The sequence below is a fragment of the Homo sapiens genome, chromosome 2 (assembly GCF_000001405.40).
Source record: "Homo sapiens chromosome 2, GRCh38.p14 Primary Assembly".
Lineage (NCBI taxonomy): Eukaryota > Metazoa > Chordata > Mammalia > Primates > Hominidae > Homo > Homo sapiens.
In genome coordinates, this window is record NC_000002.12 from 121,893,643 (window position 1) to 121,918,171 (window position 24,529).

Sequence of the window (24,529 nt, forward strand, 5' to 3'; positions counted from 1 at the left end):
CGCAGGGTCCTCTGCCTAGGAAAACCAGAGACCTTTGTTCACTTGTTTATCTGCTGACCTTCCCTCCACTATTGTCCCATGACCCTGCCAAATCCCCCTCTGTGAGAAACACCCAAGAATTATCAATAAAAAAATAAATTAAAAAAAAAATGAAAACAAAACAAAACAAAACAAAACAAAACAAAAAAAAGAATCCTTTTCCTAAAAGCGTTTTGTTTTGGTCCTCATAGCTGGTTGATGGACCAGTGAGTTCAGCCAAGCACAGGATCAGTAACTGGTAGGTCCAGTCAAACTCTAGAGTCCATGTGTGCATTTACCAATGGATTGAAGCAGCCACATATCCCCTTAAATTTCCTTTGCCGTGTTCTCCACAAGTGGAAGGATGGGTGTGTTTGCAGCTCCAGTGTGGACAACTTGCAGTTTCCAAAGGATGCTTTTGGGGGTGCTACAAATTATAATTTTAAAGTACATCTCTGCAAGAGACTCTCACCTCCTCAAAGTGATCTGGGGACTCTGTATGAATATTGACATCTGGAAATATTTCCTTGTATTGTAAAACTACTGTACATGTTTGGGGGCAAATGCAGCAGGAGCTGTAATCTCAAACTTCTTATTCAAAGTATTTTCTAGCTACTTAACAATTTTGGTATTTTCATAATAATTAAATAGGCTGTGAGGATTGCTAATGGGTTTCTCCCAGGGGTTCCTTCTTTTCAAAGGTGTCTGGCAGATTTAGGTCATATGTTTTCTTCCTTTTGTGCTGAAAGGGAAAATAAGGAAAAGAAATAGAGAATTCCCAGTAAGAGTCTTTTCAGCTACTTCTACATTAGCTCAAACCAGCAGAGGTCTGCTCTGCCCATAGCTGTGGGAAACCTGTTAGAGTCTTTAAGGACCTGAGTGAGGAAGGGAGTTCCTGCCAACGGGGTCAGCCATTAGAGCTGGCTCTTGGTATTATTAGCGGGACCCTCATAGGGAAGCCACGGGGGCACTGGCCTGGGTTGGAACTCACCTTTAGCCCAACATTAGTCTTCACCTTCCCTGGATTTCTTTGGTCCAGGGAAACTTGTTGGAGGTGAAACCTCCCAGATAGAATCAGACTCAAGCAGAGAATCAATCCATCAAAATGCCTGGACGTGGGATCGAGCAGAGTTGGGTTTCACTCCTGGCTTTGCCACTTGCCAGCTGTGGTACTTTGGGCAAATCACTTAGCTTTTTAGCCTCACTTTCCTCATCTGTATACTGGGAATAATCATTTGTCTCTCATTCGGTAGTTGTGAAGAGTAAATAAAAACATAGGGGAGACCATCCTGGCTAACACGGTGAAACCCCGTCTCTACTAAAAATACAAAAAATTAGCCGGGCGTGGTGGCGGGCACCTGTAGTCTCAGCTACTCGAGAGGCTGAGGCAGGAGAATGGCGGGAACCCGGGAGGCGGAGCTTGCAGTGAGCGGAGATCGCGCCACTGCACTCCAGCCTGGGCGACAGAGTGAGACTCTGTCTCAAAAAACAAACAAACAAACAAACAAACAAACAAACAACATAGGGAACCTAGCAGAGAGAAGATGCTGAATAAATGGCAGCTATTATTAGGATTAGTATTGCAAAGCTTTTCAACCCATTATCATAAACACATTTGTCAACAGCAAATATTTGAGCATCTCTTGAAATGATGACTGACCTTTCCAAACAGCGTTCACATCCATTCCTTCATTTATGTCTGGAGATGGCGCTGAGAGGTATTCTGGCCTGCAGCTATCTCCAGAGGTTACCTAATGGCTCAAGGTCATTCTGCTTACAGTAGCAGTGGGGAGACACTCAGGACCTGCTATAGAATTTGGAGGCCCTAGGGCAAAATGAAAATATGGAGCCTATGTTCAAAAATTAACCGTTGTAAGACTGCAACAGCAGAGGATTAAACCACGGATGGAGTCTTCTACAAGCAAGCCCATGAAGCTGGCTCCGGGTAGACTAGGTGCATCAGCTCCAGGGGCTCTCAGGCTGACCCCAGTCTGCCACCTCTCTGCCTACTCCCAGATGCTGCTGGGGAGCACTGTTGCCATGGACCGGCAGATTCTCTGGATTTCAAGGGTCTAAGGCTGCTCCCAGCCTGGTTGCTTGGGATTTCTTTTGCAGCATTTCTGCTGGAAGCAGCACTCTGCCCAAGGCCTTCTCCTGGGAACTCTAAGCACCATGGGAACAACTTGCTCCTTCCTGACATGACCTTGACTCTGACTGTTTATGACCTCCACCTGGAGCTTTAGTGACAGGCCCCCAAAGCAACGCCGCGGAAGTCGTTTATCTCTTCCTTCCTGCAGTCCTTTGGGTATCTGAAGATGGCTCTCCCATTTCCCACTCGTGTTTCTTCGGCAAGCCACGTGCTGCCTTTCTTAACATGTGCTGAGAACAGATATGGCTTTCCAGGTATGGTCAGTGTGGGAGGATGACTACGTCAGGGGTCATTCAGACAGCAGTGAACACCCACTGTGGCTGAGGTGCCAGGAACACAGAAACAAATATGAGGACTGGCCCTCGACCTGCAGGCTGGGGCCACAGGTGTGAGTGCTCCCAGCATGGATGGGAAGAGCATGAACAGGGAGCTGCGGGAAGTGGGCTGGGGTACAGAGGGCTTGGGAGTGCATCTCAGAGGCATGAGCACTTGAGTGGGGCCTGCATCGAGGAAGGGGAACTCATGTGCAGAGCGTTCTGGGCGGTGAACATGGGGCAGAAATTGGTGTGGTGGGGGTCATAAGGTGCGGTGTGGGGGAGCTGGCCTGTGTGAGTTTATCTGAGGCAGACAGAGGCCAGGGACTAGGTTGTGAAAACCTCTGCCTGAGAGCCTGCCTGCATGCTAGAATCACTGGGAGCTGCCAAGAACTTTCCAGTGCCTGTGCCCATCCCAGGCCAGTTAGACTGGAATCTCTGGGGAGGCCAGGGATGGGAGTTTTGGAAAGCTCCTCAGGGGCCTCTGATATTCAGCACCGTATAGAGCAGGGGTTCTCAAAGTGGGGCCCTGGACTGACAGCACCAGTATTGCTTGGGAACATGTTAGAAATGCAAGTTCTCAGGTCCCGCCTCAAACCGAGGAATCAGAGACTTGGGGGCAGGGGGTGTGGGGGCCCAGTCAGCTGCATCTTAGTCAGCCCTCTGGGTGACTCTGATGCATTAATGAGTTTGAGAACCATTATCCTCAGAGCTGACACTTTTGGGACAGAAGATCCAGGAAGACTTGCTGTTTTTTCTGTTTTCTGTCCTGTGGCGCACCTTCCCTGAGGCACTGAAGGACTGAATCAGCCACTTGCCTGGGCATGGGTAGGGAAAGGGGAAAATGTAAGGAGGAGAAAAATCCATACATGAATGTCTCAAAATATTATCCAGCCATAGATAAGCTCCCGGACCTTGCAAAGGCGGGCAGATTCTGTGCCTGCAGCTCTCAGTGACCCTCGCGGGAGTGTGAGGGGACTCACTGGGGCCTGGGCTGCCATTCTAACAGGGACTGGGGTGAGGGTGCAGAGGTCTCCCTCCAGCCAGTCTGGGTGCACAGATCCTGCCTCCTGGTAATGTGCTTGCTCCTTCCTGCAAAAGCTGCTGGGCCCAGGCCCTCCGGGAAGATGGGACATTTTCTGTCACTGCTCCCAGGAACGTCTGAGTCCACTGGTGCCCAGGGTGCCATCTACCCATCCCTGGAGGCTAAGCCTGTGAGGCTATCTCACATCTCTCAGAGGTGCTGAGGACATAGGAAGGAAGGGAAGGACCTGACTGTTTTGGAGACAGTCATGGTGTGGGTTGAAGTGAGGCGAGCAGGCACCCCCTGTCTAGGGACCAGTGACCCTCAGAACCCTCTCACCTCATCTGCCTGCCTCACTCCTGTTGGCACCATTGAGAGCTTGGCTGCCGGCACCCTGGACTTTTGGCAGGTTACTTCGTGTTCCCAAGCCTTGGGGTCCTCACCACCCAACCGGACTCAGCAGCTTTGGAGAGAGAGGATGCATGGTTTACCACTGACTGGGGGGCTTAGCCTACAGAAATGTATTTGCTCACAGCTCTGGAGGCTGGAGGCCTGAATTGAAGGCATTGGCAGGGTGGTTTCTCCTGAGGCTGCTCTCCTTGGCCAGCAGGTGGCTGTCTTCTCCCTGGGTCCTCCCATGGCTGTCTCTCATCTCCTCTTCTTGTAAGGACAGCAGCCATATTGGATCAGAACCCACCCTCATGAGCTCACTTTACCCTGTTACCTCCTTAAAGACCCTATTTCCCAAAACAGTCCCATTCTTCCACCAAAGAATTTTGGGGGGGGGACACATGTACATTACAACCCATAACAACGGTAAATAGCTAATTGTTTGCTAAATCCAGGCAGCTGGTACAATTCTGTGACTCTCAGTTCTCTGGGAAGCCCTGCCCGACCCCACAGTCTGGGCTGTGGGGCCCCTCTGTGCTCTCCTAGCCCCTGGGTGCCTTCCCGAGGGCAGCCATCACACAACTGGCCACTGTAGGTTTATGTGCTGGTTTTCTCCCCTGGACCTGGAGTGCCTGCTGACAGCATCTGTCTCTGTCTCTGTGTGGATCCAAGTACCAGATCTCGTTGCTGGGGCCTTTCCATGCTCTTAGCATCCCCATGCTGCCCTCCATGCTGCTGGGAGGTCGTTGCTTCCTCCAACCCTGTCATCCTCTCTGTCTAGTCCCTGTGTCTCCTCCCTCACAGTTAACAGCAGCAAGGGGATGGTGGGGACGCGGGAAGGGGAGGAAGAGGGGGAGATGGGCATTGAGGGATGGGCAGGGGATGATGGATGGCAGAGGGCGCAGTGGCAGAGGGGAACGGGTAGCAGTGACGCCAATTACAACAGAATATCTGCGGGTGGGGTTCGGGCATTGGTATTTTAAAGAAAACTCAGGAGATGCTGATGTGCAACCAAGGCAGAAGACACTTACTGTTGGACTCACCCCCATCAGCTGCAGATGGGAGAAATGCCTCTCTGGCTTTTGGGTCCAGAGACTAGGGACTTCCTTTCACCTGTGAACAAGCAGCCTGCATTGGCTGCAGCTGAGATCATTTCCTTTCTGAGTAATGTGATGTTTTAAGTGACTGCGCAGAAAGTCTGTTGTTGCAAAACCGAGTATTACTGCCAGTGATTAAAACACTAGCAGCACCTTAACATTATTTTCATGCTGATGAATAATTTAATTTTTAACTTAATGTTGCATTAATGTTGCTGTGCATATCATTACCTTCCTTTTTATTTCAAGGAAAAATATAGCAAAATACTTGAGTTGTCAAAAGGGCCTGGGATTCTCATAACTGGGGCTTCAGACAGGGGAGTGCTGATGGGGAACAAATTTGACTCTAAGGCCTTTATCTGAGAAGAGCCTGGGCACTGATGGAGAGTGGAGGATGAACTGGGCAGCACAGCTGGGAGGCTGATGGAAACAACCTCTGAAGCCAGAGTTGAAAATATTTTTCAGAGTTTCACATACTTCTGATCCATGATGTCAGCTAATCCAAGAAATTGTTCATTCTCAAAATTTGAGTTTGTTTGCACCTTGAAGTCACAGAGGCCCTTCAGTCTGCATGTTTTTTCTTTCCAGATGTATTTTGGATCGATTTGTCTATGATTGGCCCCTCAAACATGAGGATGGGGCGGGGCATGGAAAAGCTCTGTTTTGGTGATTTTGTGTGTGAGACTCAGCCCTTGAGGAGCTGAGAATCCTGTCCAGAGGAACAGACATCAATTACAAACAAAGTTTAAACAGAGAAAAGGATTAGGAACATAGTGGAGGAATATGTAAACTGGCCTAAAGAGTGGGAGCATCTGTAACACTTTCTAAGTGGAGGTCACATTTCATTTGGGGTTTTGAAGGATGAATAAGATTTGCTAGAAGAAGCAGGCAGGGGATAGTGGTGATGAAAATGGTGATGAAAAAAGGCAGAGAAAACAACATTGCATTTCTCTCAGTGCCCAGGGAGTGGATAGGGCTGACAGGAGTGAGAAGAAGCTGTCAGGAGGTCCAGCTTGAGTGAGCCTGATGGGTGCTCCTGACTCTTTCCTTGTGGGGCCAGAGTATGGCTACTTAGTAGGAAGAACCTGGACTTTGGGGTTAAAGAGACTTGGTATTGAATCCTGGCTCTGCCTTTGCTAGCCACGAGGAACCGGGCGTGTTGTTTTTCTTCTCAGAGCCTTGGTTTTCTCATCCTACTTATTGTGGTTGATAATGAGACTATTGCCAGAGCCCAAGGGGTTATTCCAGAAGCAGAGGTCATCCTGGTAGGCCAGTGCCTGTGAACATCCCAGGCAAGGGCATCAGGTGGAGATGATGGGCAGAGGCAAGTTTGTGAATGGGACTGTCTGTTGGGGGAGGGAGAGGGACTCCAGACCTGGGGATCCCAGAGGATTCCTAGTGGGGAGGCCACAGTCAAAGACACAGGCCTGTGGTCAGAACCCCGGAACCCAATAGGGAAGCCACTGTAGAATGGCACCATGGCGGTGCCTGGCACTGTTCTGCACTATCCATAGCTGAGCCCATCTGACCTTCATACCTTTCCCATGAGGTAGGAGCTATTTTATCCTTTATTATATAGGATGGGAAATTGGGTCTTAGAGAGGGGAAGTGACTGTCCAAGGTCTCACAGACAGCAAGAGGCAGGGGTGGGATCTGGACACAGGCATTCTGACTCCAGGACCTGAGCCTGTGCCTGGTGACTTTCGGGGGCAAAGTCACCTCTGCATCTCTGATCGTCCTCCTCTTGCCTCTCTGTGGTGGCCTCACTGGGTCTGCATGTTCTGAACTGGGGGTTGGATGATGCAGGATCTCCATTAGGAACTGGGGGCTTTGCAGACCTCAGCTGCTGTTCATGACTTTTCTCTGCATACCCTGTGAAGGTAGGAGCCCCGTCTGCTCACATCGACGGCCTTATACGAATATGTGGATTTAGAGCTGGCTTGTCTTGGAGGCCACGACAGAAACTTCAAGCAGGGGCCGAAAGAGTGGCGTAACAGGGTGTGCTGAAGTTAGGAAGTTAGAAGAGAGAGGGGGCCCAGGGGCGGGGGACCAGGGAAGGCTTCCTGGAGGAGGAGGTGAGGCTGGAGAGTGACTTTCAAGGGCAGGAGGACTTGAGGATAAGCTGAAGATGTAATTATGCCAGAGAAAGGTATAAATTCCCCAAGTAAGATGAAGCTAATTGAAATGTCAGCTCCATCACCTCTGCTCTCACACAGAGCCAGGCTCTGCTACGCCTCATAAGAGCCCTGCTGGAAACGATGGCCGTGAAGTGTTTTTTTAATTGGACAAAGCACTGATTTAGGCAATGCCTCTTTTGCATAGATTTAAAAAAAATGTAAATTGCTTAATCTTGGTTGGCTTGATGAAGCGAGTGCTTCTAAGGGGACTGTGGGAAGACCTGGAATTTCTCTTCACCCCATTGGGCTTGCCTAATAGGAAATCAAATCTCATCAAGGCGTTTACCTGCTGTGGCAGAGGCTGTGATGAGGGGCTCCCAGCATGCCCTGAGCAACATGGGTACAGGCAACCTCCCTGAACTTCTAGAAGCAGAGGGGTGAAGAGGGGCGGGAGAAGGGGCAACGCTGGAGGAGTTGTCAAATTGTCACTCCTTGAGGAAAAGCGGGGGACTGAGGCTGAGTTCCAGGGCCAGATTCCTAGGCTCTGAGACTCTGGCCTGCACCTGAATAGGAGACGGCCCTGTGACCTTGTGCTGATGGGTCTGACACAAGCTCAACACCTCACTTGGAATAATAACTGCCACTACTGAACATCCACTCCAGGAGAGACATTTCACCTGTTACATTCTCACCACCATCCCATGCAGCAGTTAAGGATTATCTGCATTAACTGATGAGCAACTTGAGGTTTGGGAAACATAAAGAAACCTGACCAGGGTTATACAGCTAGTGTGTAGGGGACAGCATGTGCTCTGGGAGCCTCTGTCTTCCCAAATCCAGACTCCACGTTGCTTTTTGTGGGTTGAACCAGATGGGGTCCCAAGGCCCCTAGCAGATCTGCTGTCTGCATAGTCCTCTTGGTTTTGCCCCTCATGTAATATATAGGTGTCTTAAGTCTGTTTGGGTGTCTATCACAAAATATCATAGACTGGGTAATTTTGAAACAACAGAAAAGTATTTATCACAGTTCTGGAGGCTCTGGGGGGCTTCTGGGCACCCCACCACTCATGACAACACTGTGTAGACAGTAATATGTGTTTTCATTCCCCCAGCGGGTCACCAGGCAGCAGGTAATGAGGGTCACCAGGTGCCAGGATGGGTGCCACGATTGTTCACCAATCAGCCAACTTTACAATCCAGCTTCAGAAACTTCCAAGTTGAACATTTAGAATCAGTTAAAATATTAGGATCTAGCTCTGGGAAGTGAAGTTTATAGGGTAAGAACTGCTTAGAAGTTTTGATTCCAATAATTAGAATTATAAACTAAGCCCCCATTTCTTACACTATTTTAGCACCATCAGGCTTGGCCAAGAAACCCGTTGGAGTTACAATTTGCACTGCCTACAAAACAGACTCAGAATGATCTCAAAATCAAGCCTCGAGACCCGATTAGCTCAGCTGGATGTGATCTGGAATGAAGAAGCATCAGACACTGGGGGGCGCTTCTTGAACAGGCACTGGGCTAGACAGCCCAGACCTCGCGGAAACAAAGCGGGAAGGGGCCGCTCCTGGGGAGTTTTTCCCAGCTTCCCTGGGCCGGTGAGGGGTCCTGGCGTCCTGAACTGGAGATGCTCCTTAGAGGGCACTGCTTCAGCCACCCCTGCCTTAGCATACATACGGGTCCCACAGGGGTCCTTCGACACCAGCTCATCGTCTGGGTTCCACCATCCACCCACGCACTCATTTGGCAGCTATCAACGGAGTATTCACAGTACGCTGCTCACAGTTCTAACCGCGGAGGATAGAGTTGAGGCCCACACGACAGCCCCTGCTCTCACAGAACTGATGTCTCTAGAAGAGTCTTCCCTCAGTGAGAACGTTCTGATTTCTAGAACATTCTTTCTTCTGATGAGTGAACAGCCTCACCGGAACTTCCCCATCCTCCTGGCTTGGTTCCTGAAGTGGCCCAAGGCTGCCTTCTCCCTCCCGTGGGTGAACAGGGTCACTGCTTCCTCTCTTGTCCAGGCCCCCTGGCCTGACCCTGAGTCCCGGGCGTAACGGCGTTGTTGAACCACCACAACCCCAGGCGGCGCCTTCCTCTTGGCCCAGGGGCTCTCTTGGGGACAGTGTGCAGTACTCCCCAAGGGGGCTTTGCTGTGCAAAAGCAGCCCCTGCCGATGCTGCGGCTCCCGTGGATGGAGCACTGCCGTGGGAACAGAGTTGGAACTCATCCAAAAGGTATCACTTAGAATTACCTCTGTGAGATGGGAGAAGGTTGAAGGAAGGTGGTGAATGGGGTTAGGAGAAACAGAGAGATGGGAAGGGGGGCAGCTGCTGGTGCCTCCACCCTTCCTTCTGTCCCTTTCAGCCATCTTCCCGGCCAGGTGCACTGAGGCTTTCCACACCCAAGTCCAAAGGGTGTTGCTGCTTTCCCTCAGTGTCTGGGTGCCAGCTGTTATGCCGGGCGCCAGGAACATGCGATGCTGAACACCCTAGCCCCTCCCCTCCTGGAGCCTGACCCGCTGAGGGAGCCAGAGCCGGGCAGACGTCTAGGAATGTGGTGAGGGACCGGGCAGGGTATGCACTCGGCACCAGGAGCACAGGGGAAGGGATAGTTTTTGCGACCTCAGGGTTTGGGGAAGGCTTTCTGGAGGAAGAAATGTGAGAGCATAGAAGCAAAGTAGGCAGTTATCCTTCGTATAGGAGAGCAGGAGGGAAAGTCACTGCTGGTGCGTGGCAGCTGCAAGCAGTTTGCTTTAGTGCTAGGCTGCTGTGCGTAGAAGGGCATGGGGCACGAGGCTTTATTCTGCAGGGGACTTGGGGCTCCTACAGGAATTGGAGGTGCTGAGGAAGGGATGGGCTGGGGAGTAGTCTGCAGGACTTTTAGTCACAACCAGGTTTCTAAGGAATTCTGAGGCTTTGGGCAAAAAAACCACAACCCTTTGAGCCTCAGTTTCTTAATTTCATCCTTTCACCCTGTCTCCTCCCTCCCTCCCACTTGATGCTGGCCCAGTTCTGGGAGCTGGAGAAGATGACTGGCTTTCACCTTGAATGTCCAGGGTAGGAAGGAAGACTTGCGTGGTGGAGGTGGATAGTGGGCCCACCCCACTGCTGGTGTGTTCTGCAGCCTGTCATGCGGGTGTGTGGCACCCCACTCATTCCTCGGGTGGCCCAAGGCTGCCAGGGCTCTCTGGAGGGCATGCAGCCGAAGGTCATCCCTGCCTCTAGCTGGTCCCAGGATGGATAAGCACAGTTCTCCGGCTGGAATGCTTCAGCCAGGTTCTTAGAAAAATGGTCAAGTGGGCTCTGGGATCCTCACTTCTCTTTGTGGGACCCAGCAGGATGGTGGAGCTGGGACCATCTTGGAGGAGGCAGAGCCTGGGGCAAATCACCTAAAACGTTAGACACAAGTCACACCAGCTAACCTACATGATTGCTTTAGATCGATTGCAGTGCTTAGGGGCCAGACTCTGTGGGACTTTGAGCAGGTTGCTTCACCTCTGTTGAGTCTCAGTTTTCTCTTCCAGAAAATGGGGATGTTAACAGGACTCACTGCACAGGATCAAGCTGGTTCATGAGCTAAGCCATGCTGGATGGTTAGCACAGGGCTGGTCCGAACAAAGGCAGCATAGACGACCCTGACCTTGAGCAGGAAGGTGTGCCCTCTGCACACCAGCTGGAGACAAACTGCAGAACACCGGGCCCGGGCTTGAGGGCAGCCAGGGCACAGCACACGGCTCAAACCCGAGGGCAGTGAGAGGGAGAAATTAGTCATGCCACTTTGAGTGGAACTATATTTGACTGCGGTTGGATGCTCTGGGTATGAGTTTGGAGCAGGTCCTGGCCAGCCTCTCTGACCCACGTGAATGTGTAACCTTTGGAGATGATCAAGCTTTTATGGGTGGAGTGCGGATGTAAAGTTCTCCAATGAATGTTCTATAAATGCTTTTTATTAGCCACCACTTTATAATGTGAGAGCCATTGAATTAGGTATCCATTAGTGTCTACTCCCTGGGGAAGCAAGGATGCCTTCCCGAGGCATCCTTGGATGCTCTGGGGCTGGTTCAGCTTGGCAAGGAAAACATCCAAGTGACAGGTGGTTCTGGACTCAGGCAGGCAGTCTGCTCATATTTCTTTGTGGGTGTGTGTGTGTGTGTGTGTGTGTGTATGTGGTTGCCTTGTCAATGACTAGAATCAGAGGGAAGGGGACAGGCTTCTGGGTAACTTTAGCAGTAGGCAGAAGGCTGGGCAGGGCCTCTGTGTACAGTTGTGCAGGCTGTGCACTGCCCAAGGATACATTTAAGAGAGCATTGTTTATATCATAGAAACCATAGATTGTATAGGTCTAGTATGACAATTCTGGGAAGTAGAAGTGAAGTGTCTCATTTTAATAAAAATCAGAAAATGGTGAGAATTTAAAAATGAATAGAAATGAAGTGTCTGTGAAGGGGAACCTTTTGACTTTGTGCAGAGGTATCATATAGACTCCTAGCATCTCTGAGGCAGGGCATATGGGCTGGGTCAGTCCATGGTAGACGAGAAGGAGGGGGACCTGGGGTCAACAGGGGCATGCTGGGCTCCTCCCTGGTATACCCTGGTATACCCAGCCGCACAAGGTACGATGCTACCGTTGGACGATGCTGCCACAGTTTTCACCAGGTCATGGGTGCCTCCCTTACGGGGATCTGCAGGTGGCTGGGGCAAGGCAAGAGGGGAGAGTGGTGGCATTAATACCATGTCACAGGTTGTGAAAATTGTTTTGGTGAGAGGTTGGCAGGGGGGCAGCAGGTTTGGGGGATGAGGTGGGCTTTTTGTTGAGTGAATCCAGGGCTTGAGGCAAGAGACGAGGTGGTGCAGACGGCAGTGCATTCTCCAGCTGGAATGCTTCAGCCAGGTTCTTAGAAAAATGGTCAAGTGGGCTCTGGGATCCTCACTTCTCTTTGCGGGACCCAGCAGGATGGTGGAGCTGGGACCATCTTGGAGGAGACAGAGCCTGGGGCAAATCACCTAAAACAGACACAAGTCACACCAGCTAACCTATGTGATTGTCTGAACAAAGATGGGAATGTGGGAAGACCGGGGACTCCTCCGAGGCTGGAGCCTGGCCACATGACTCTTAGTTGAATCCAACAGGTTTTTAAAGCTGGGACTGGTGAGAGAATGCCGTCATGATCATGTCGAAGGGTGCTGCGATTTCCAAATGGTTTTTGGTGGAATATCAATCCTGAGATACATTTGGCAGAGAAATCAAACCAAACCAACCTTCAAAATATGCTCGGGTTGAGCGAGGTGGAAACACCGCACATGGCATGCTGCGCTCAGGCCCAGAATAGGTTGGTGCTGAGAAGTTCTGTCTAGTGAGACCAGGCTTGCATCACTGCAGCCAGGATTTCCTAAATATGGCCATAACATTTAAAAAGAATGAATACTTTTTAATTTCCCCAGGAGCTGGTATTCCTGTGTCATCTGAATACAGAATGGGGCCTGCCCAGGGGTCTCTCCCTGTGCCCAGAAGCCCTGCCGAGCTGCGTGGAGCAGATTGTAGCTGCACCCGCGCCACCGCCCCCACCCCCCCGCTCCCCCACTCCCCGCCCCACCCTGCCGCTGCCTTTCAACATACCGAGGCTCGAGGCTCGGAGGAGCTGGCAGCTGCTTGCCTCCAAGGCTTTCCAGAACCCTCTTCAGACAGCTCTCCCTTCAGCCAGTCTCCACTGAATAGTATTCTGTTGTATATATGTACCACATTCTTCCATAGATGGGCTTCTAAATCTTGGCTACTGTGAATAGTGCTACAGTAAACATGGGAGTGCCCATGTCTCTGACTATCATATGGTGGTTCTATTTTCAATTTTTTTTTTTTTTTTGGAGACGAAGTCACTCTTGTCGTCCAGGCTGGAGTGCAATGGTGTGACCTCAGCTCACCGCAGCCTCCGCCTCCCAGGTTCAAGTGATTCTCATGCCTCAGCCTCACGAGTAGCTGGGATTACAGGCGCCTGCCACCATGCCTGGCTAATTTTTGTATATTTAGTAGAGACGGGGTTTTGCCATGTTGGTTGGGCTGGTCTCAAACTCCTGACCTCAAGTGATCTGCCTGCCTCGGCCTCCCAAAGTGCTGGGATTACAGGCATGAGCCACCGCACCTGGCAGTGCACATTTTTTGTTTTTGTTATTCTTGGAACACACGAGGAAATGTTGCCATGCTTTGCAATTTCAAAGCACCTTTACCTGCATTGTCTGATTTCATCCTCACAGTAACTCTATGGGAGGTCTTCAGGGAGCAGTATTCCCAAAGTTAGATAGAAACCTAGATTCCGAAGGATTAAGTGTCTTTTCCTAGGTCTCAGCCAGTGGCATGGCTCAGTCTTAAACCCAGGTCTCCCAGTCTTTTCACGTACGTATGGGGGTCTGAGAGATGCCCAGGAGACAGCTGGATGTGTGGATTTGGCTCACAAGGCAGAGGCCTAGGCTGCAGAGAGAGAGATAAGCCTCACCAGCAAATGTACCTTTTGCTTTTCTGATAAAAGGAGACATATGCAGCTGCAGCTGGCTTTGCCCATCTCCCCTCTCCTACCTTGAAGGCAGGTGTGATGTCTGGGGCTGTGGCAGCCATCTTGTCACCAAGAACTGGCAAGTGATGCCAGAGGCCCATTCACCAAAGATTGTGGTGTGGAGGCACAGGAGGCGCCAGTGCTGCTGAGTAGTTGAAATCCCATGGGCATCTGCTTACCTCTGGACTTCCTGTGATGAGGAAAACAAGCCCTGCTTTTCTAAGTCCCTATAGTCAGGTTTTCTTTGCTTGATGTTTCCCCGGGAGATGTAACACCTAGAGGGGTAGCATGAAGGAGAAAGAGCAAGTACACTAAAGAATGCAGACAGTGCTGCAAGAGTAGGGAGGCTGGATCTTCAGTGACCCGGGATCAACCTTGCACCCGCTACCACCAGGCTGTGTGAGGTAAACGGGAGCTGTCCTGGTGTGCTAAGCCACAGCTGGTCAGGTTTCTGTTACGGGTAGACAAAATTATTCCTAATTGTTACACCTGTCTTCCTTGGGTAAAATGCTAAATTGATTTATGAAATAAATTATATAAATGGACACACACACACACACACACACACCCATACACAGAGACAGTGTTGAAACAGAGAGAGGCAGAGGCGAAGGTGGGGTGGAGGAGTAAGGGGCAGTCTGGCTGGGACCAGCCTTCCTGGGCAGGCATGAGGAAGGCACAGCCTTGGGTCTCGAGGGAGCAGCTCCATCCTGGGAGCTCTGCCAGGCGCTGTAGGCACCGCGTCTTTCTGCCCCCACGGCTCCCTGCTACGTGCTGAAAGCCTTTGTGCCTGCTGCTGCTGTCTGGGCCTCACTGTCACCCCATGCTGTCCTGTGTCATGTTTCCGTCGTGGCTGACTTGCCTCTGCATGCTGAGCTGTGTGGCAATTTGTAACAAAGCAGGAAAGCCCTCTCTCCCCTTTCTGGGACGCCCTGTAATGGAGACCTGAGCTGAGTGGCTTGTGCACCAGTGAGGTGTCTCCTTTTGGTTTCTCTCGGAGCTGTCCCTCTGTCCTGAGCCAGATGCAGGTGCAGGAGGCTGGGCTGTGGGAGGACCAGAGAAGCAGCTGCAGTGCTGGGCTCAGGATTCCTTTTTGCAACCAAAGACTGGGGCTTAGTGCCTTCTTCTCAGGGTGAGCTGTTTTCAGGGAGGCTCCTCAGTTCCTTGGCAACAGGCATCGTCCTTTGGGCACCCCACTGATTTGTCAGGTTCGCTGGTTCACATCCGGCTGGGTCTTTCTCAGGAACCTCCTTAGCCTCCTAGGGAAACAGACTCCATTCAGCACCTCCTTGTCCACTAGACACACATTCCTGGGCCATCAGAAACCTTTTTGGCCACAACCCGTGCCCAAGATGCACTCCCGCTTCCAAGATGGAGAGAAGGAACACCTAACACTGTCATTTTTTTCAAAGTTTGGGCCCCAGGCCTGCAGCTCTCTTCCCTCCTCCCGGGTGCAGATTCCAGATCCTGCCCACACTCCTCCTAGAACGCGTCAAGTGGCTACCTGTGCAGAAGCTTCTTTGGGGCTTACTTGTAGAGCGTGAATCCCAGAATAGACACTTCCCTATGAAGGAACACAGATAATGGGAGAAGAAAAAAGATACCTCCTTACTGGGGCAGGTTTGCTTTGCCCAAAATAGCCCTGTAACCAACGTGCTTCTGAAGTGCCTTTTGAAATCTAGGAACATTTGTAGTATTTTACATTCAGCTTAATAATTTATTGATGTTTAATATTTCACAAGAGTAAGGCAGAAAACCTGATAAAATTTTCATATCTGCTATTATAAGCTAAATGGAACATGAGGCGCTTCCGGATGGTGCTGAGTGGCTGAGGCCCGGGGTACGCCCCACACCCCCTCCCATCACAGCAGGTCCAGGCAGCTAAGTCAAACTCCTCCATCCATTAATTTTCCCAAATGTCCTGTGCACTTGGGAGAGCTGGAGGCCTGGGGATGTCGTGAAGTTTAGTTGAGCAGCAAGACCTGCTTATGGTGTGATTTGATGAGGGCCAAGCATCTCCCCTTTCCCCCCAATTTTTCCTGCTGACCTGTTGTTGATTCCTGAAATGTCCATCATTAGAACAGATTGCACTCCTTGCAGGAGCATCAATACCTGTGAGAAGCGTAGCTTATAAATAATAATATAGCAAATCTGTGTCACTGTTCTCATATATAATTCATTAACTTCTCACAAGAATCCTGTGAGGTAGGAGCTCTTGTTATCCCCATTTTACAGATGAGAAAACTGAGACAGAGAGGAAAAGCTGATTTGCTCAGGATCATGCAGTAGCAATGAGCTGGAATTTGAATCCAGGCAGTCTCACTCCAGAGTCTGTGCTCTTAATCATTACACTGTTTTTCTTCTCTAAGTACAAATCAAATCAACAGTTGATGGTGTCTTCTCCAGGCACAGAGCTCTGGGCCACACACTCTGGAGGAGATAAAAGTGGAGGCTTCTCATCTGAGTGATGAGCCCAGTAGCACAGATGTGCTCGGAAGGCACTCTGGCCCTCCCCTTGCTAGCTGAGTGACCCGGGCAAATTACCTCATCATTCAGAGCCAAAATAATATCTGCCTCACAGGTTTACCTGGAAGATGAAAGAAGATACATTAAAAAAATTACACTGGAGCCGGGTCAGCAAACTCTGGAGAATGGGCCAAATCTGACCTGTGTACTACTTGTTTTCTTTTTTCCCTAAACAGTTTATTGATATGCAAATCACACACCGTGACATTTACCCATTATAGGTGAACAATTCAGTCATTTTTAGTGTATTCACAGAGATGTACAACCATTGCCACAGTCAATTTTAGAACATTTTCATCACGTCGAAAAGAAGTCCTTTAGCTACCATCCCTACCCCTTAATGTCTCCTCATTCTGCCCCTCCTCAGCAAGTAACTACAGATGCACTGTCTGTCTTTATAGACTTCCCTGTTCTGGGCATACCATTTGAATGAGTGGAATCATATAATACCGGGTTTTTTGTAACTGACTTCTTGTTTTTAGCACACCACTTTCTAGGTTTTTTCCATGCTCTAGCATGTGCCAGTATCTCATTCCTTCTTATGACCAAATAACATTCCATTGTATGGATAGACCACATTCTGTTCATCCATTCCTCAGTTGATAGACACTTGGATTGCTTCTGCTTTTTGGCTGTTAGGATGCCTACTGCTTTTGTAAACAAGATTTTATTATGATACAGTCCTGCTCAGGCCTGGGATTAAGGTGAGACAAGCAAGGTGTCCAGGGTTTAACAAATTAAGGAGGCACTCAACTCTCGGGGTCCTGCAAGTTCACAGCCAGCCCTGGCCACACCTGTTTGTTTACCTATGGCCCGTCACTGCTTTAGCCCTAGAGTGGCAGAGCTGAATACTTGTGACAGAGATGTCTGGCCCATAAAGTCCAAAATATTTGCTAACTAGCCCTTCACAGAAAACATTTGTTCACCCTGGTTTTTAGGTCCCTTACTCTCAAGTTTGAGATAGAAGACAAAAACGAGGACTTAAAGGGCCATCCAACACTTAGCATAACATCAGCCTGGGTATCAGCCTTGTCTTTGGCTGTGTCTGGATGGGCCATTGAAAATGATGAAGTGGTTTTAGATTTGAAAATACCACTGCCAGGATGAAAGTGTTTCTTTCAGAGCCATAATATTCTAAAGCTCCCTCCCAGAGTGTGCATACTTTAAGCACAGAACAATACGGCTTCCCACTCAACATAAACTACCTTTTCCCCAAATGTCCTATCTAATCAAAATCTGAGTGCTCAAGATTGGATTAAAAACCCCTAATGCCTGCAAAACTGTTTGCCATCCATTCAAGTAGGGGTGTTTTATTTGTGTTGTCAGAGTCACAAGGAGTGACAGCTCTCCTTGTCAAGAGTGCGTTTTTCTAAAGATCACTCTGAAAACCCGCCCTCACTCCCCTGCCCCCCACCTTGCCATTATCCTGCTTCCTTGGGCTGGAAGATGTAGTAGAAAGAACACTGATGTTGGAATCCACTTCCTTTGATAGTAATTCTGACTCTGCTGCAAAATAGCAAAGTAGCTGTGACATTGGGCAAGTCACTTAACCTCCTCTATTAAATAGCGGACACAATGCTTCCCTCACTCGGGTGTCATAGAATGAAGTGCCAGATAAAACAAGGACTGTGCATCAGTACAATGTCATTGTTTGTTGCTGACTGAAAATTGTGGGCTAAATGATGAAGAAAATGAAGGATGGCTTTATACCCGTCTCCGCTCAATGCACCTTCTCTTCTCTTGGACAGAATCACCACCTCATGATAATCTCTAGGGATCCTCCTGGTATTTCTTTTTTCCTATACTCTCCTTTTGCAATCAAAGAAAGAATGTTCTAGAAAAGACCTGAGCCACCAAATTCGTACCAAGGTACTAGTGACTGATAAAACTTTCCCATATTAAAAGCCTCAGAGATGTTTGCCTTACATCAAGAAGCTTTATGCTAAAAAAAAAAAAAAAAGAAAAAATCTCATTTTGCAATGTACAAAATGTAAGAAAAAGAGAGTGACAGCATGGGATTTGGGGATGAGGCTTTCCTGGGTCCCAGGAGACAGACTTTCTTTGTGTCTGTTGAATCACACCATGTGGACATTGTCTATTCTGCACACACAAATGGCCGGGCTTGCACATATGCCTTAGGAACTAGGCAAAAATGAACCGAAAATGGGAGAAGAACTTCTAAAATTGCCCTGTGACCCATTACCTTATTTTTTTTTCAGAGTCTATCCTGGTTCCTTTAATCTTTGGGTACTTAATTTACCTAAGTACTTGTAGTGGACATTTATTGTTTTGTTGCCTACACAAGGCCCTTCCTACTTGGGAGTATTTCTGAGCCCTACTAAGGAAGCTGTGTTAAGTAGCCTTTAAGGTTGCACCAATACCAGCCTTCTGATATTCACATTCTTGTGTAATCCCTTCTCCTTGGGTGTGGGCTGGATTTAGTGAAGTCCTTTTAATGAATAGAGTACAGCAGACATAATGTCGCCTCTGAGATTAGGCTATAAAAACACGGTGACTTCTCTCTTGGGGGCTCTCTCTCCCTCTCTGAGATCCCTTGGTTGAGAGACTCAAGCTGGCATGTTGTGAGCCACTCTCTGTGTCCATGTAGTGAGGGATCAAGACCTGCCAACAACCATGTGTGTGAGCTTGGGAGCAGATCCACCCCATCCATCACTCCAGTTGACTTTTCAGTTGAAATGGCAGCCATGACTGACAGTTGACTATTGTAACCTTATGAGAGACTTCACCCTGTGGAAAGGGGCACAGTAAGAGGAGGATCACAGCAGGCCCCCCTATGGTATAGAGCCTGGCACAGTAAACCTGGTTGCCTAGGTCTAAGAGTGGTTCCGAATGTGCCCCTCAGGAGGGCCTAGACATTGCTTTCCTTTTTTTTTTTTTTGGAGATAAAGTCTTGCTCTGTCACCCAGGCTGGAGTGCAGTGGCATGATCTTGGCTCACTGCAACCTCCACCTCCCGGGTTCAAGTGATTCTCCTGCATCAGCCTCCTGAGTAGCTGGGATTATGGGCACGTGCCTCCATGCCCAGCTAATTTTTGTATTTTTAGTAGAGGCAGGGTTTCACTATGTTGGCCAGGCTGGTCTCGAACTCCTGACCTCAAGTGATCTGCCCGCCTCACTCTTCTTTAAGGCATTAAGAGAGACATCTGTGCCGAGAGGAAGGATCAGCATCTTTGAGAAGTATGGTACTGGGATTGCTCTGTATGCTGGTAGGAGACACTGTAGTTGGAAGGGGCTCCCTGGTTTCAATCTGGGTGAGACAATTCTGGAACAATAGAGGCTGAAGATCCACACTAAAGAGAATCAAGATGGTTACCAAATTATGGCTAGCGTGTAGTTAGAGCAGTAATCAGAATGTTCTGACCTACATGGATCTTTGGGGGCTGGTTAATTTTAGAGACTCTAGAATTGAAATAGGTAGGCAACCCATTAATATTCTACTTGATCTAAAAAAATAAACAAAACAAATATCCCCTATAGATCTAGTGATCAAGTCATGGTCCTTCCCTAATACCTAAATCTAAGTCAGCTGCCAGACCCAGAGCTCTTTGGATCGAAGGAAAGACAGGTTCCCTTGAGGAGGGAGCCTGCAATGTCATCACAAATATATACTGTGAGTCTTTCTCAAATCTTTTGCAAAAGGACTGTGTCTATTTACTAAAGTAACCAGGTACTGGGGGCAGGGAAAAAGCAAGTTCTTTTGGGGATTACTGAACACTAGTTCTGAAATAAGTCTAAATTCTCAAGGGACAGAATGTCATGCTAGTCTAGTGGTTTTACTGAGAGCTTACAGGAGTCAGGTTGTTGATTTCAGCCTGAGTTTTCTTTATAATAAACTACATCCTGAGATTATTTCTTCATATTGTGAGTTTAAAGTTAAAACATACACACACACACACACACACACACACACACACACATATATATACTCAGCAGTTGCTAGAATCCCCATCTTGTCTTTCTGATCCATGAAGTCAAGGATATTATGGGAGAAAGGGTAAAATAAAGTCCTTTTTTAAGGAGTTACATGTCCACGTGTGCAGGGAAGCTTAGGGATAAGCAATACCTTATTTGGAATGGCTTTTCCCTGCTCTGACTGCTGTAACAGAAGGACCATGACTTGATCACTAGATCTATAGGGGATATTTGTTTTGTTTATTTTATAGATCAAGTAGAATATTAGTGAGCTGCCTACCTGTTTCAATTCTAGAGTCTCTAAAATTAACCAGCCCCCAAAGATCCATGTGGGTCAGAACATTCTGAATACTGCTCTAACTACACGCTAGCCATAATTTGGTAACTATCTTGATTCTCTTTAGTGTGTGGCTCTTCACTACTAAATGGTAATCCAAAGTAATACTACATTCCAGGGGAATTTCAAAGATTAGCGCCACCACAAAAATCATGATTTCTATCAAGTTTGACTGGTGTGGAATGTAAATATGGCTTAAAACAAAGACCGAATTATTTTAAACCTAATGATGTAACTATAATTGGGTGTCACAGGATAATCTAGCATTATTTCCCTATTTTAAGGTAATCTAATTAGCAACCTTAATGCTCCTTTGCCATGTAACCTAACATATTTATGGGTTCTGGGAATTAGGACACATGGGTCTATTACAGTACCTCGCACACATGGAAACACCAGGAAGCCCTCTAATGGCCACTGTAGTTTATCCCATACACCTTCTTGCCCTCATTGGGTAGAGCAGCATTAATTCCCCTTAAGAGTATCAATCATACCAGCTAACATTCTAGCTTCCAATTTTGCCTGTTTCAGGCATGTGAAACAAGAAAGATTCAGGTAGCAGCCTCTGCTACAATTCAGTGGAACAGTTGTTGTGTCTTCTGGTAAATCATCCCTCCCTTCAATATGAAAACTTCAAAACTGGCATGTTCCAGACTCATGGGGATGGAAATCGGTATTCTAGACCACTGGACCCTGGAAACTGTATTGAGATGACACACCTAAATATTTTCATGGTGTTTATCTCTGACCCTTTGTGTGTTACATAATCATCCAGTATGGCTGCAGCCTTCTGATTTCTATATTCCATAAGCCTGGCGTCATTAGTATTGTGGGTGAGTATAACATCCTGTAGGATAATGGTGATATAGGAAATACTCCTGTGGAGTAAGTATGGCATAGAGCTGACGCTATAAAATAGTCCCAAAGAAAGACGGTAAAAGTGTGTTGTTGTCTTTATCAGATGAAGCAAACTGCTTTGGGTTTGAAAATTTTGTTTTGATTTTCTGCTTATTGAAATAGAGGAAAAGGCATTCTTCAGGTCAATAGCTGCATAGTAGGTGCGAGGGACTATGCGAGAGAACATGTATTGAGCGATGCAGTTTGGGAGACATAACTGCCATGTTTTCAGAAGCATGGATGGCTACTGTATTCTTTCATGTCTTTTAATGTATACATTAATATATTTTAATGAATTTCCTTTCATTGTTGTCTCTAGTGTTGATGGTGGTTGTTTTATAATTTGTTACCTAGGATATAGAATATCAAGATAGAGTGGCAACAATGAAAAGAAATTCATTAAAATATATTAAGTGGAATGGACATGGTCTAGAAATCTGGGCTAGCTGATGTAATATGGGTGCCTCACCTTGAGGAGAGTTGAGAGCACTTTCAGCATATTAAAGGATAGTTGTGCTATGTTAGGAACACTTTTAGAAAGTTCCCATTATGGGAAGACTAGTGTGAGAAAATGTTGGGGAGCTGAAGAGATGGACTGCAACAGGCTGTCCATTACTTTTGGCTGACTAGTTTCCAAATAACTCACTTCAGAAAATGAGGGGGGATGGTTATCACCTACCCTGGTTTCTTGGAAGCTGGGGTGCAGGCTTATGACCTATCCTACGTCAATTGGATGTTTCTGCCTAGGACTTTGAAACGTGAGTAACAGAGCTGCACAGGCTGAGATAGAGACTGCAGTCCAGTGACAATGGTGTCAGTGATGGTATGTGTTTTAGTCTGCTTTGACTGCTGTAACAAAATCCCAGAGGCCGGGTAGCTTATAAACAACAGAAATTTATTTCTCACAGTTCTGGAGGCTGGGAAGTCCAAGATCAAGGTACCAACAGATTTGGTGTCTGGTGGGGGCTCTTTTCCTCGTTCATAGATGGTGCTTTCTAACCATGTTCTCATGTGGTGGAAGACACAAGGCAGCTCTCCAAGCTCTTTAATAAGGGCACTAATCCCATTCATGAGGGCCTGTAATTACCCTGCAAAGGTCCCATCTCCTCATATCATCACATTGGGGATTAGGTTTTAGCATATGAATTTTAGGGGGACACAAACATTCAGACTATAGCTGTGGTGCTAAGAAGGCTGTTCTCACAGTGTGATCTTCTCAACACCTTATTTTCCTTAGCTTTTTTCTCTTTTCTGAACCTGATTCCCAGGTAATTTCAATTGAATCTGTGAGCCAGCCAATGCACTACAAACGAATTTCTTTTCTGCTTAAGTTAGCTGGAGTTGTTTGCCTCCCAGAACACTGATTGTTAGAGTATTCAGTATTGTTCAACCCAAGTGTGTGTGTGTGTGTGTGTGTGTGTGTGTGTGTGTCTGTGTCTGTGTAAATTTCACTCAGAGTATTGGAGAATTAGTAATGGGGACTTTCTTAAATGGAGAAAGAAACAAGTTCATTCACCTGTAGATATTATCCTGAGATAGCTTGTGGCAGAAATTTTTGGTGGAATGCATGAGCTGGCTCAGACCTGGGCTAACCCTTAATCCAAACTATGATGTGGGAGACTTTTGTTTGAAATGGTTTCTATTTTTATGCCCTGTCCCCCAGCCCCTCGCCAAGCATTTATAGAGAATGGGGGCTGGGGAATTGTACTGGCATAGAAGCTACTTGGAAAATAGATTGACTGATTAACTAAGAAGTGGAAAGATATTGAATAGTATTTCATTTATGTATTCAGCAGACACTTACTGACTTAGTTCCTAGACCCCAGCCTGGCAGCCAGTGACTGTCCCATAGCATGATCTAGGGGCAGGGCACTCAAGGTGTAAGATACTTATCATCAATGACCTCACTTTGCCACCTGATCCAAATCTAAGTGTGGAGGTTCAAAAAACCATGGAAATGAGTGCATTAGTATGCACGTGGATTTAGGGTAGCTTTTTTAAGGAGTTACATGTCCACGTGTGCAGGGAAGCTTAGGGAAAAGCAATACCTTATTTGGAATGGCTTTTCAGTCCTAGTGAGAGCCAAATCAAAACCAAAGTAAAAATTTAAAACACCTCATTACTCCCAACCAAATACAGAAAAAAGTTTTTTCTGACAAAACAACTTGTATTTAGAGTAATGGATTCTTTTTTCTTGTGCTTGTCAAATGACCTCACGTGACTTAATCAGGGTGGCTGCAGTCTGGGAACGCTTGGCTGTAGCGGGAGTAGCTTGCGTGCATTTCTGCCCTCCCTCGTTCCCCATAAAGTGCCCATCATTCTCATTCATGTCTCTACTCCCCACAGCCATGTCTGTGACAGCACCACCACAGGCCTGAGCTCTGTCCGCGCCTCTCCTCTCAGCTGAGTGGTGCTAACTGCTGTACAAACCACCCCAAATCTCATTGGCACAGTCCATCCCATGCAGGCAGCTATCTTCCAAGGGGTGACTCACGGACCCAAGCTGCTCCATGTCATGGCGTTGCCATCTTGTGCTGCACAAGGTCGACCTGGAGTCACCCAGGGAAGGGGCATGGAGAATCCTGCACCTAATGCTTTACCAGGTCAGCCTGGAACACCTATCACTGTCACCCCCATTCCACTGCAAGATGTTTAATTCCAAATGCAGGGGAAGCTGGGAAGTGCAGTCCCTGGTAGGCTCCCCAGTAGCAGCCTGACTGTGGAGTGGGAGCATGGTCCTTTCTGGGCTGTGATCACCTCTACCACACCATGTAATACCAAACTTCTTCCCCAACAACAAGCTTTTGACTCATCCCCATGGAGTAAGAAACTGGAGAAACCAATTCACCCTCTGCCACTAATATTTGATGACATTTTATTTCATGACCAATTCCAGAATATTTATATCTTTAAAAAGAGGAAAAAGAAGGTAGTCTGCCTGAAGATAACTCAAGGCCATGGCTTTCCAATGGTGGGGGGAGTAGTTTGGTGGGGGAGGGGAATTCCTGTTATCTTCAGATGATTTGCAGAGGACACACCCATTCACCTATGTGTTAGGGAGATTCAACTTCGAGTCTCAAAGGCTGATCGTATCAGAGAGGGGACAGAATAGATGCCTTTTGGAGATTTCCAACCAAATTCCAGCCCTGCTGTGTCCTTATTGGCTCCATAAGTCTAGGA

At 47.9% G+C, this 24,529-nt stretch overlaps 1 long non-coding RNA gene across 8 annotated transcripts in view; it reads left to right on the top strand.

Annotated features, from left to right (window-relative positions):
* Window positions 1–8,810: 8,810 nt before the first annotated feature.
* LOC105373592 (uncharacterized) overlaps window positions 8,811–24,529 on the top strand; it is a 530,486-nt gene continuing 514,767 nt past the window's right edge. For all 8 annotated transcript variants that reach the window (XR_001739684.2, XR_007087222.1, XR_923281.3 and 5 more), the window contains exon 1: window positions 8,811–9,347. This is a non-coding gene — a long non-coding RNA (uncharacterized LOC105373592). The remainder of the gene's footprint in view (window positions 9,348–24,529) is intronic.